Source organism: Homo sapiens, chromosome 17 (assembly GCF_000001405.40).
Source record: "Homo sapiens chromosome 17, GRCh38.p14 Primary Assembly".
NCBI classification, from domain to species: Eukaryota; Metazoa; Chordata; class Mammalia; order Primates; family Hominidae; genus Homo; species Homo sapiens.
This window is the reverse complement of record NC_000017.11, coordinates 19993787-20007625: the sequence shown is the minus strand read 5'-3', so window position 1 is coordinate 20007625 and position 13839 is coordinate 19993787. Positions and strand designations below refer to the sequence as shown.

Below are 13839 nucleotides of genomic sequence, written 5' to 3'. Positions count from 1 at the left end.
TGGCAATTTTATTATTTACATTTTAAAAATTATTCTAGAGTTAATTTTGATAAAGCATGTATTTCTTAAAACAAATTATCCTTTTTTTCCAGATGTTCAAGTGTATTTGCATAAAGTTGAGGAAAGTAGTCTTTTGTGAATCTTTTAACTTCTCCCAAATATCTTATTTTGTGTATTTTTGCTTCTTTATTTTGTTAACTTTTAAAAGTGTATTTTTTTTTCAAAGAATCAGCTCTTAGGTTTATGTTTTTGGTTATACTGGAGCTTTTTTCTTCTTCTTTTTAAAATATTTTTTCTCCTTTATTTTTTAGACGTATTTTGATCTAACGTAATCGGAAGAAGGTAAATTAGAATCTTTTGTTACTATTGTGTTTTTATTTCTCCTTATTTCTCTGAAGTCCTGCTTTATAAATAGTACCATGTTATTTGTGCATAAATATTCATTTGTCTTATATTCTTGGGAATTTTCCCACTTCATCATAAAATGACCTTCCTTGTCTCATTTAATGTGTTCAAACTTTGCCCTGAATTTAACTTTGTCTGATATTTTACCATCCTGCTGAATTTTGTTTGTTACCCCAAACAACCTTTGCTGTTTTCGTCTTTTCTGAACCCTTTATTTTAGGTAATCCCTTGAATTAGAGCACTAAGTTTTGCTTTGTGATTAAATCTGAAAATCTTTATCTTGCCATAGATGAGTTGAGCCCTATTCATGTGACAGCTATATTATGCTGTTTCATAGCCCTTTTGGTCCTTTTTTCACTCTTGCATTGCATATTTTGTGTTTATTGTGTTTTGTGTTTCTTCTGATAATTTGGAAGGTTTGTATTTTTATTCAGGGAGTTGCCTTATAATCATACTCCGCAATACACATCGTCCTCAGTTTCTTCAGACTGTCTGTTAACTCCCTATTCTGAATAAAAATGACATTGTAATTTCCCTCTTTTTTCTTTACCCCTTTTCTTCTCCTCACCTAATGTAAATGATTTTATCCTTCTTTAGTATTTGCTTTTTTAATTAACTACATTTATAAATATCTTTATCACTTGATTTTTAAATCAGCTTTGAATGAGATATTTGGATTCCTAGATATAAAAGATGTTAATTATACCATTTCCACGTTAGTAGGTTTATAAAATCATACATTCTGCTGTGTAACCATAATCCCACGTTTGTTTTAGTTCCACTCCTACAGTTAAAAGATTCAGAAGTATTATTAACAGTTATTTTGCCATAGTTTTTTCCCCAACCCATTTTGTGGTAAGTTATGATCCTGCTTTAGTTTCTTAAGAATAATTTATAGAGCAGAGTGTGGTGGCTCACGTTTGTAATCCCAGCACTTTGGGAGACAAGAGGTAGAAGGATCGCTTGAAGCCAGCAGTTCAAGACCACCCTGAGCAACATAGTGAGACCTTGTCTCTACAAAAAATTTTAAAATTTAGCCAGACGTAGTGGCGTGTGCCTATAGTCCCAGCTACTCAGGAGGCTGAGGCAAGAGGATTGCTAGAGCCCAGAAGTTTGAGGCTGCAGTGACCTCTGATTGTGCCACTGCACCCCAGTCTGGGCAAGAAAGTGAGAACCTATCTCTTTAAAATAACAATAATAACTTATGAAAATTATATTCCCTGAGTTTTTCATGTTTAAAAATATTTGTTGCCTTTATCCTGTAAAAGTTTGAGTATAAATTCTTGGGTTATACTTTATTTATTGAAGAATGTATAAGTATTGTCTTCTAGAATTGAGTGTTGCTGTAATGAAACCAGAAGTCAGCCTGGTTTATTTTTCCTCAGAAATGAGGTAATTGCCGGCCGGACACCGTGGCTCATGCCTGTAATCCCAACACTTTGGGAGGCCGAGACAGGTGGATCACGAGGTCAGGAGATTGAGACCATCCTGGCTAACATGGTGAAACCCCGGCTCTACTAAAAGTACAAAAAGTTAGCTGGGCATGGTGGTGGACGCCTGTAATCCCAGCTACCCGGGAGGCTGAGGCAGGAGAATGGCGTGAACCTGGGAGGAGGAGCTTGCAGAGAGCTGAGATCGCGCCACTGCACTCCAGCCTGGGCGACAGAGTGAGACTCCGTCTCAAAAAAACAAAAAAAAAACAAAGAAGTGAAGTAATTGCCATGATGCTCCAAGAATTATCTCTTTGTCTATGAAATCCAGAAATCTCACTGTTATACATTTTGGAATTATTATTCTGGGCCAATATTTCCTGGGACACAATAGATTGACTCTATAGATTTAATTTTTTTTTTTTTTTTGAGACAGAGTCTCACTGCAATCTCAGCTTACTGCAACCTCTGCCTCACGGGTTCAAGCAATTCTCCTGCCTCAGCCTCCCAAGTAGCTGGGACTACAGGCGCGTGGCACCATGCCTGGCTAATTTTTGTCTTTTTAGTAGAGACAGGGTTTCACCATGTTGGCCAGGCTGGTCTTGAACGCCTAACCTCAAGTGATCCACCTGCCTCAGCCTCCCAAAGTGCTGGGATTACAGGCGTGAGCCACCATGCCCAGCCTCAATTCCTCTTTCTATCTGGTAATTTTTCTGAAGTTGAAAACATTTGTTCTAATACGTTATTTCAGTGTTCTTCTAAGATGTGTAAAGCACCCTATTCCCAGGTCAGCCCCCATCTTGCTAGTGAGCTCGGCTGGTTCTTCACAAGAGCTCTGGTTTTCTCCTGCTTAATCTCAAGTACCTCTGTCAGCCTCCACCTGGTTTATGATTTGGAGTTTTTTGGTTTTTGTTTTTTGTTTTTGACAGAGTCTTACTCTGTCACCCAGGCTGGAGAGCAGTGGCATAATCTCAGCTCACTGCAACCTCTGTCTCCCAGGTTTGAGCGATTCTCCTGCCTCAGCCTACTGAGTAGCTGGGATTACAGGCGCGTGCCACCACACCCGGCTAATTTTTGTATTTTTAGTAGAGATGGGGTTTCACCATGTTGGCCAGGGTGGTCTTGAACTCCTGACCTCAGGTAATCCACCTGCCTCAGCCTCCCAAAGTGCTGAGATTACAGGCGTGAGCCACCGCGCCTGGCATGGTTTGGAGTTTTAATCTGTAGTTTTAATAAAGATAGTGCTTATGTTTGTGTTTCTTATATTTCTTGGTACTCTTGGGTAATTTGTAAGATCCCCATATCTACACAAGAAGTCCATTTTCAATTCTTTTCTTCAGACTGTTTATTTTATTTTATTTTATTTTATTTTTATGTTTGAGATGGAGTCTCGCTGTGTCACTTCTGGAGGCTGGAGTGCAGTGGCGCGATCTCAGGTCACTGCAACCTCCGTCTCCCGGGTTCAAGCAATTCTCCTGCCTCAGCCTCCCGAGTAGCTGGGATTACAGGCACCTGCCACTTTTTAATTTTTTTAGAGACAGAGTCTCGCTTTGTTGACCAGGCTGGAGTGCGGTGGTGCAATCATGGCTGACTATAACCTCCAAATCCTGGGCTCAAGTGATCCTCCTGCCTCAGCCTCCTGAGTAGCTGGGACTACAGGCACATGCCACCATGCCCAGTTAATTTTAATTTTTTTGTAGAGACAGGGTCTCCATATGTTGCCCAGGCTGGCCTCCTACTCCTGGCCTCAAGTAATCCTCCTACCTCAGCCTCCCAAATTACTAGGATTATAAGCATGAGCCACCATGCCCAGCCTTGTTCTACTACTTTAATTTCATATGTTAGGTGACCATGTAATTGATCATCCAAACCAGGATACTGTAAGAATGAAAGAGGCTGACAGTAGTATGATGCTGGGACTAGCATTGTGCACTGAGATTATTTCTGGGAAAGCAGGAGATACGGTCACCCTACTTATAGTGTGCTTGTCTTTGGATTGTTGAATTTGGAGTTTCTATTTGCAGGCTTATTTCAACTGGGCAGCCTTGATCCGCCCTGCCCAGCAATGCTACCGTTCTCTCCACCGGGTCTCTGGGACCCCTTCAGTCACTATACTTAGCTCAGTTCCCCACCCTCCCACTCCCTAAAAGCGTAACCAGGAATCCTGCCTCAGGTCTACTGCCGTCTTCCGTGGGCTGTTTCAGTTCCTATTACCCAGAGTCAAACTCCCAGCATTCCCTACCTGATTCCAGACTTGGAGTCCAGAGCTTTAACCTCTTCAGGCCAACTCCCCACTTTGCATTTCTGTCCCTATATCTTAGTCCATGGAGATACATTTCATGTCTTTGAGTCTACTTACAAAGTAAATTTTGCTGTTTTTTAATTTTTTTTTTGAGATGGAGTCTTGCCCTGTCACCCAGGCTGTGGTGCAATGACGCCATCTCGGCTCACTGCAACCTCCGCCTCCTGGGTTCAAGCGATTCATCTGCCTCAGCCTCCCAAGTAGCTGTGATTACAGACAGGCACCACCACGCCCAGCTAATTTTTTTTATCTTTTAGTAGAGACAGGGTTTCACCATGTTGGCCAGGCTGGTCTTGAATTCCTGACCTCGTGATCTGCCCATCTCGGCCTCCCAAAGTGCTGAGATTACAGGCGTGAGCCACTGTGCCCAGCCAATTTTGCTTTTTTTATATTTCATTGCTATATGTTTAGAGGATAAGTTTACAGTGCTATATGCATTCCCAAATATTAGACCAAAAAAATCTCCAAAAAATTAGAAAGAAAATCCAAAAAATCTCAAAAAATACCAAAAAGCAACAATCTCACAGACCATACTCACTGACCCCCAATAAAATAAAATTAGAAATTAACCACAACTTAACAAAATAAAGTACTCAAGTCAGAGAGGAAAGAGGAAATAAACATCAAAATTACAAAGTCTAGGCGGTGGCTCACGCCTGTAATCCCAGCACTTTGGGAGGCCAAGGCGGGCAGATCACAAGGTCAGGAATTCGAGACCAGCCTGGCCAATATGGTGAAACCCCGTTTCCACTAAAAATACAAAAATTAGCCAGGCATAGTGATGTGTGCCTGTAATCCAGCCACTTGGGAGGCTGAGGCAGGAGAATCACTGAACCCAGGGAGACGAAGATTGCAGTGAGCCAAAATCGTGCCACTGCACTTCGGCCTGGGTGACAAAGCGAGACTCCATCTCAAAAAAAAAAAAATTACAAACTCTTTAGATAGAAATTTTGGTGTTTTTTTTTGAGACGGAGTCTCACTCTGTCGCAGAGGCTGGAGTGCAGTGGGACTATGTCAGCTCACCGCAACCTCCATCTCCTGGATTCAAGCAATTCTCCTGTCTCAGCCTCCCAAGTAGCTAGGATTACAGGCGCCCACCACCAGACCCAGCTAGTTTTTATATTTTTAGTAGAGATGGTGTTTCACCATGTTGGCCAGGCTGGTCTCAAACTCCTGACCTCAAGTGATCCACCTGCTTCAGCCTCCCAAAGTGCTCAGATTACAGGCGTGAGCCACCGCACCCCACCTAGATAGAAATTTCAACATGAGGCCGGGCACAATGGCTCACGCCTGTAATCTCAGCACTTCAGGAGGCTGAGGCGTGGGAGGATCACTTGGGCCCAGGAGTTCAGGACCAGCATGGGTGACAGAGACAGACCCTGTCTCTATTTATTTGAAAAAAAAAAAAAAAAAGAGAGAGAGAAAGAAATTTCAACATGAAAAGTATCTCTCAAACCCTTCGAGATGTTGGCAAAAAGCGACTCAAAGGAAAATGTATTACTGTGTGTGAATTTGCTTGAAAATAAGAAAGAGGCCGGGTGTGGTGGCTAACACCTGTAATCCCAACACTCTGGGAGTCCGAATCAAGTGGATCATGAGGTCAGGAGATCGAGACCATCCTGGCTAACATGGTGAAACCCTGTCTCTACTAAAAATACAAAAAATTAGCTAGGCGCGGTGGCTCATGCCTGTAATCCCAGCACTTTGGGAGGCTGAGGCAGGTGGATCACCTGAGGTCAGGGGTTTGAGACCAGCCTGGCCTACATGGTGAAACCTCGTCTCTTCTACAAATACAAAAATTAGCTGGGCGTGGTGGTGGGTGCCTGTAATCCCAGCTACTCAGAGGCTGAGGCAGGAGAATCGCTTGAACCCGGGAGGCGGAGGTTGCGGTGAGCCGAGATCGCACCACTACACTCCAGCCTGGGCAACAGCCTGGGTGACACAGTGAGACTCCATCTCAAAAAATACAAAAAATTAGCTGGGTGTGGTGGCCTGCGCCTGTAGTCCCAGCTACCCGGGAGGCTGAGGCAGGAGAATGGAGTGAACCTGGGAGGAGGAGCTTGCAGTGAGCCGAGATCCCACCACTGCACTCCAGCCTGGGCGACAGAGCAAGACTCTTGTCTCAAAAAAAAGAAAAAAAAAGGAAAAAAGAACCCTGATAATAAAGAAACCAAATGTTCAACTCTCAAAGCTCGGACACTTTAAAGAAATAATTAATAAAGGCAGAAGTTAAAGGGAGGATGATAAAGCAATTTTTTTTGTTGGTTTTTTTGAGATGGAGTCTTGCTCTGTCACCCAGGCTGGAGTGCAGTGATGCGATCTTGGCTCACTGCAACCTCTGCCTCCCGGGTTCAAGCAATTCTCCTGCCTCAGCCTCCTGAGTAGCTGGTACTACAGGTGCGCGCCACCTGGCCCAGCTAATTTTTGTATTTTTATTAGAGACGGGGTTTCACCATATTTGTTAGGCTGGTCTCAAACTCCTGATCTCAGGTAATCTGCCCACCTCGGCCTCTCAAAGTGCTGGGATTACAGGCAGGCGCCACCGCGCCTGGCCTAAAGCAAAATATTGGTTCTGTGCAAAAGGTCAATAAAAAGAGCAAACGTTTACAAACTGGAGCCAGCACCCATTCAGCTCAGTGTGTCTGGAGAAAAAACAATCTCGCTTCAGAATTCATGATTACGCAGCCCTTTTTGCTTCCTAAAAATCCTACTATGTTGCTGTTGACCATTCTCTCTCTTTCTCTCTCTCTTGCTTTCTCTCCAGAAAAGCTATTCAGACATTCTCCTCTTTCCTCAAACCTCCAACACTTCCTCCTCCATCCTTAGCCTCAGCTGCTGACCTCACTTCTAATCATTGAGAAACCAGGAGAAGCATTTAAGAGTGAACCTCCGCCTCCCCGCACGGGCAAAACCACCCACCCACAGAATTGTGCCCCAATTCTGCGTCCTCTCCTCTCACCATGGATGGACGGTCCAGGCTCCGAGCCAAAGCCAGGCCTCCCCTGGAGCTCTGGATCCACCACCTGCAGCTTCTCAGGCAGGGCCCCAGCAGCTCCCCTGCTCCCTTGTACCATCAATCCCTCCCCTCACTGGGTCACTCCCAACAATATATATATTTAGTGATGTTTCTCCCATGTGGTAAAATCACTTAGCCTCTCTCCTCCCCCAGCTACTATCCTATTTGTTTCTTTCCATTCTCTGCAAAACTTCTCAAAGCATTGTGTCTATGTGCTGACTCCATTTATCTTCTCCCGTTCTCTGCTGAGTCCTTCCCACAGACTCTCACCCCAGTTACTCCATGAAATGACCTCTGCACTGCCACATCCAATGGTGAATGTTCAGTTCTTAATTTTATTCAGTCTTTCAGCAGCATTTGACCTGGCCGATCACTCCCTCTTCTTAAAAATACTTTTCTCAGCCAGGCGTGATGGCTCACACCTGTAATCCCAACACTTTGGGAGGCCAAGGCGGGAGGATCATGAGAGCCCAGGAGTTCAAGATCAGCCTGGGCAACATGGCAAGACCCTATCTCTACAAAAACTAAAAAGTAGCCAGTGTGATGGCATGCACCTGTAGTCCCATCTACTTAGGAGGCTGAGGCAGTAGGATGACTTGAGCCTGGGAAATCAAGGCTGCAGTGAGCCATGATTGCACCACTGCACTCCAGCCTGAGTGACAGCGAGACCCTGTCTCAAAAAGACAAAATAGGAAACTTTTCTCAGCATATTCCTCTGATTCTCCTGCTGCTTCTGTCTGCACAGATTCAGTCTCCTTTGCCGGTTCTTCCTCATCCTCCTGATCTCTTGACCTTGAAGTGCCCCAGAGTACAGTCTTTTTTTTTTTTTTTGAGACGCAGTCTCGTCTGTCACCCAAGCTGGAGTGCAATGGCGAGGTCTCAGCTCATGCAACCTCTGCCTCCTGGGTTCAAGCGATTCTCCTGCCTCAGCCTCCCAAGTAGCCAGGACTACAGGCACATGCCACCATGCCCAGCAAATTGTTGTATTTTTAGTAGAGACAGGGTTTTACTATATTGGCCACGCTGGTCTCAAACTCCTGAACTCGTGAACCACCCGCCTCGGCCTCCCAAAGTGCTGAGATTACAGGCATGAGCCACCACACCCGGCCCAGAGTACAGTCTTTAGACGGCCTCTCTACCTATACTTGCTCCCCTCATAAACTCCTCCTGCCTCATGGCTTTAAATACCATCGGTAGACTGATGACTCCCATATTTCTCTTTTTTTTTTGGAGACGGAGTCTCGCTCAGTCCCCCAGGCTGGAGTGCAGTGGCGCGATCTCGGCTCACTGCAAGCTCCACCTGCCAAGTTCACACCATTCTCCTACCTCAGCCTCTCCAGTAGCTGGGACTACAGGCACCCGCCACCACGCCTGGCTAATTTTTTTGTATTTTTAGTAGAGATGGGGTTTCACCATGTTAGCCAGGATGGTCTCGATCTCCTGACCTCGTGATCCGCCCATCTCGGCCTCCCAAAGTGCTGGGATTATAGGTGTGAGCCACCGTGCCCAGCCGATGACTCCCATATTTCTATCTCTTGCTGTGTGGGAGTTCTCCTCAGAACTCCATACTCATAAATCCAACTCTCATAAATAGTATCTCAAATGGGCAATATGCTCAAAAGTCAATTCCTACTTTTCTCCCTAAACTTGCTTTCCTGCAGTCTCCACCATCTTAATGTCCAATCTAACATTAGGAGGCAAAAACTTTGAAGTCATTCTTGACTCTTCTCTATTACACACCCTATCCAATCTTTCTGCAGATCCAGTCGACCCCCAAATCCAGTTAGCTCTCATCATCTCCCCTGTTACCCCCTGGTCCAGGCCATCTTCCTCTCTCACCTGAATCACTGCAGCATTCTCCTCACTGGTCTCTTTGGTTCTGTTTTCACTCCACCTTAGCATAGTCTCCACAGAGCAGTCAGAGGGATCCTTTTAAAGTGTAATTCCCATCCTGTCCCTGCTCTGCTCAAAACCCTGTCGTGATTCCCGTTTTAATCTGTCAGATTAAAAGCCAGAGTCTTTCCAGTGACCTACATGATCTGCCTATTATCACCTCCCACTTCTTTCCCCTTGCTCACTCCACTCCAGCTCTGCAGCTGTCCTTTCTGTTTCCTGAACAGCCCAGATTTTGCTTCTTTAGAACCTTTGTATTTGCTGTCCCCTCTGTCTGGAATGTTTTTCCAGGAAGTCACCTGGCTCTCTCCTGCACTTCCTTCCTGACCACCATGTTTAAAAATCACTCAAACACACTTCAGGCCGGACATGGTGGCTCACGCCTGTAATCCCAGCACTTTGGGAGGCCAAGGTGGGTGGATCACCTGAGGTCAGGAGTTCGAGACCAGCCTGGCCAACATGGTGAAACTTCGTCTCTACTACAAATACAAATAGTAGCCAGGTGTAGTGGCACACACCTGTAATCTCAGCTACTCAGGAGGCTGAGGCAGGAGAATCGCTTGAACCCAGAAGGCAGAGGAGGTGCAGTGAGCCAAGATCACGCCACAACACCCCAGCCTGGGTGACAGAGCAAGACCCCATCTCAAAAAAAAAAAAAGAAAAAAAAATCACACAAACACACTTCTCTTCATATTCCTTTTCCAAGTTTTATTTTTCTCCAGAATACTTTACATTGTTTTAATGGAAGTTCTCCGTTTCCCCCCAACTAGAATGGATACTTCCTGCAGGTAGGCACTCTAGTCCTCCCATCCAAGTACTAACCAGGCTCAACCCTGCTTAGCTTCTGAGAGCAGGGGAGATCAGGCCTGTTCAGGGTGGTATGGCCCAGGAATTTTGATTCTGTTTTATTCATTGCTGTTCTGTTGATTCTCTTTTGTTCCTCCTCCTAGTGCTGAGAACACTACTTGTACATAATAAGCATTCAATAAATATTTGTTGAATGAATGACTTGTTGAATGAATTAATCTCAGAAATGCAGGACTGGTTCTACATTAGAAAATTTTTCAAGGTCATTCTCTGTTGTCGTAACACATTAAGAGAGGAAAATTTTGTACTCTAAATCATTTGATAAAATACATACTGATTTCTGTTTTCAAAAACTCTTAGTGGCTGGGCGAGGTGGCTCACATCTATAATCCCAGCATTTTGGGAGGACGAGGTGGGCGGATCACTTGAGGTCAGGAGTTTGAGACCAGCCTGGCCATCATGGTGAAACCCTATCTCTACTGAAAATAGAAAAATTAGCCGGGTGTGGTGGCGCATGCCTGTAGTCCCAGCTACCTGGGAGGCTGAGGCAGGAGAATGGCTTGAACCCGGGAGGCGGAGGTTGCAGTGAGCCAAGATCATGCCATTGCACTCCAGCCTGGGTAACAGAGTGAGACTCCATCTCAAAAGAAAACTCTTAGTGAGTTTAGGAATCCAAGGAAGACCCTCAAACTAAATAGATAATCTAGCTACCAGAAGCCTTCAGTAAACCTTAACACTCCATGGTGAAACATTAGAAACATTCCTACTAAAAGACAGGCTAAGAATGCCTGCAATCTTCACGGCTAGTCCAAGAAGTCAAAAAGAAGAAATGAGCGCTGATTTAAAAAAATAAACAAACAAAAAACTACCGATGCAGAGGCTGGCAGCAAGGACTGAAGGACTGTACAGTACTTGCCTGGAGCAGGCGGATGGCCACACCCCTGCGAAGCCTGCTCAGCTGGCTGGGGGACGCTCCAGTGTGTGAGTGGCAGGATGCAGGGTACTTCCTCTGCCAGGGAGTTGCACTGGGGAGATCCTCCCCCACTCACACTTTGGCAGCTGGGGCTTTGGAATGTGACTTAGCTTCTGTCAAAGGGTCAATCCACCCTTTGATATATGATGCAAAGGCGAACATATGATGCAAAGGTGAGAGAACAGCCCAAATTAGGACTTTTACCACAGCTGTGGAGGTGGACAGCGACAGTGGTGGGCCCTGGCCAGACTTTTCATGCTCAAAGGTGGTGGTTGTTCTTCCTACTTCTTGTCCCTCCAGGGCTTCCTTTGCCTGTGTGCTGAACCTGCTTCTTTTAATTTTTTTTAACTTTTTTAAATTTTTAATTGTTTTAATTAAAACAAATTTTGAAAACTGTCTGAACCTGCTTTTGAACCCTGCTATGATTTGAATGTTTGTCCCCTGCCAAACTGATTTTGAAACTTAATCTCCAAAGTGGCAATATTGAGATGGGGCTTTAAGCAGTGACTGGATCATGAGAGCTCTGACCTCATGAGTGGATTAATGGATTAATGAGTTGTCATGGGAGTGGCATCAGTGGCTTTATAAGAGGAAGAATTAAGACCTGAGCTAGCATGGTCGCCCCTTCACCATTTGATATCTTACACTGCCTAGGGGCTCTGCAGAGAGTCCCCACCAACAAGAAGGCTCTCACCAGATACAGCTCCTCAACCTTGTACTTCTCAGCCTCTGTAACTGTAAGAAATAAATGCCTTTTCTTTATGAATTACCCAGTTTCAGATATTCTGTTATAAACAATAGAAAACGAACTAAGGCAAACTCTCATGATTCTACTGCCATGCCATTCCAATAAACTCCCTTTATGCTTAAGAGAGCCAGAGTTGGCCAGGCGTGGTGACTCACGCCTGTAATTCCAGCACTTTGGGAGGCCGAGGCAGGTGGATCACAAGGTCAGGAGATCGAGACCATCCTGGCTAACACGGTGAAACCCCGTCTCTACTAAAAATACAAAAAAATTAGCTGGGCGTGGTAGTGGGTGCCTGTAGTCCCAGCTACTCGGGAGGCTGAAGCAGGAGGAGAATGGCGTGGACCCAGGAGGCGGAGCTTGCAGTGAGTCGAGATCGTGCCACTGCACTCCAGCCTGGGTGACAGAATGAGACTCCGTCTCAAAAAAAAAGAGAGCCAGAGTTTATTTCTGTTGCTTGCAACCAAGAAATCTGGCTGGTGCACTGAAGTTTCCATAAATAATAGCAATTTAAAGACTCTTTCCAAGCCAGGCAATGCCTAGCCTTGTGTAGTCCTTGTGGTAATACATTCATTCATTCATTTGTTCAACCAACTGTGCTCCAGAGACTAAGAATACAAAAATGGGGGCCGGGTGTGGTGGCTCACACCTATAATCCTAGCACTTTGGGAGGCCGAGGCAGGTAGATCACCTGAGGTCAGGAGTTCGAGACCAACCTGGCCAAAATGGTGAAACCCCTACTCTACTAAAAATACAAAAAATTAGCTGGGGGTGGTGGCGGACACCTGTAATCCCAGCTACTCGTGAGACTGAGGCAGGAGAATCACTTGAACCCGGGAGGCAGAGGTTGCAGTGAGCCGAGATCGCACCACTGCACTCCAGCCTGGGCAACAAGAGCGAAACTCCACCTCGAAAAAAAAAAAAAAAAAAAAAGAGGGCCGGGGCTGGGCGCAGTGGCTCACGCCTGTAATCCCAGCACTCTGGGAGGCCAAGGCAGGAGAATTACGAGGTCAGCAGATCGAGACCAGCCTGACCAACATGGTGAAACCCCATCTCTACTAAAAATACAAAAATTATCCGGGCGTGGTGGCGCACACCTCTAGTCCCAGCTACTTGGGAGGCTGAGGCAGGAGAATCGCTTGAACCCGGGAGGCAGAGGTTGCAGTGAGCCGAAATCATGCCACTGCACTCCAGCCTGGGTGACAGAGTGAGACTCCGTCTCAAAAAAAAAATAAAAAAAAAAAAAGAATTCAAAAATTGTAGAGTTATAGTGTGCTTCTAGTTTAGTTGAGAGGACATCTGTCCTTCAAGGAAGGCTAGAATCTATACCCTGAGTCCTTACTGAAATCAATCCAGCAGTCAAAACATGGGACCAACGATCACAGCAGTAAGATAGGAAGAGCACCTTTGTACATTTAGCTCATGTTGAGATAAGCCACTGACAGAGCTGAAGGAAGCTCACAGTTCTGGGTTCCATCCTTTGGCATTTAAAAAGAAAAGTGCTAAGAAAATTCGGTTGGTCACGGTGGCTCACGCCTGTAATCCCAACACTTTGAGAGGCCAAGGCAGGCAGATCACGAGGTCAGGAGTTCGAAACCAGCCTGGCCAACATGGTGAAACCCCGTCTCTACTAAAAACAGAAAAATTAGCCGGGCATGGTGGCGCATGCCTATAATCCCAGCTACTCAGGAGGCTGAGGCAGGAGAATTGCTTGAACCCGGGAGGGGGAGGTTGCAGCGAGTGAGAGCAGGCCACTGCACTCCAGCCTGGGAGACAGAGCAAGACTCTGTCTCAAAAAAAAAAAAGAAAAAAAGAAAGAAAGGAAAAAAAGAAAGAAAAAAAAAGAAAAAAGAAAATTCAGGCCAGGCCAGGCCTGGTGGCTCACACCTGTAATCCCAACACTTTGGGAGGCTGAAGCGAGACGGTGCCTTAGCCCAGGAGTTTGAGACCAGCCTGAGCAACATAGCGAGACCCTGTCTCTATAAAAAAAAATTTTTTTTTGGCCAGACGCAGTGGCTCACGCCTGTAATCCCAGCACTTTGGGAGGCCGAGGCAGGTGGATCACGAGGTCAGGAGATGGAGACCATCCTGGCTAACACGGTGAAACCCCATCTCTACTAAAAAATACAAAAAATTAACCGGGCGTGGTGGCGGGCGCCTGTAGTCCCAGCTACTCGGGAGGCTGAGGCAGGAGAATGGCGTGAACCCGGGAGGCGGAGCTTGCAGTGAGCCGAGATTGCGCCACTGCACTCCAGACTGGGAGAGAGT

General features: G+C 45.7%; 2 annotated features.

Moving 5' to 3' along the window:
* Positions 11907-12406: an enhancer, noted in NCBI's record as "H3K27ac hESC enhancer chr17:19898533-19899032 (GRCh37/hg19 assembly coordinates)". NCBI's record gives its function as "activates a minimal SCP1, AML or CMV promoter by ChIP-STARR-seq in primed H9 embryonic stem cells {active_cell/tissue: H9 hESC(primed)}" and the evidence as "EXISTENCE:reporter gene assay evidence [ECO:0000049][PMID:30033119]".
* Positions 12407-12908: an enhancer, noted in NCBI's record as "H3K27ac hESC enhancer chr17:19898031-19898532 (GRCh37/hg19 assembly coordinates)". NCBI's record gives its function as "activates a minimal SCP1, AML or CMV promoter by ChIP-STARR-seq in primed H9 embryonic stem cells {active_cell/tissue: H9 hESC(primed)}" and the evidence as "EXISTENCE:reporter gene assay evidence [ECO:0000049][PMID:30033119]".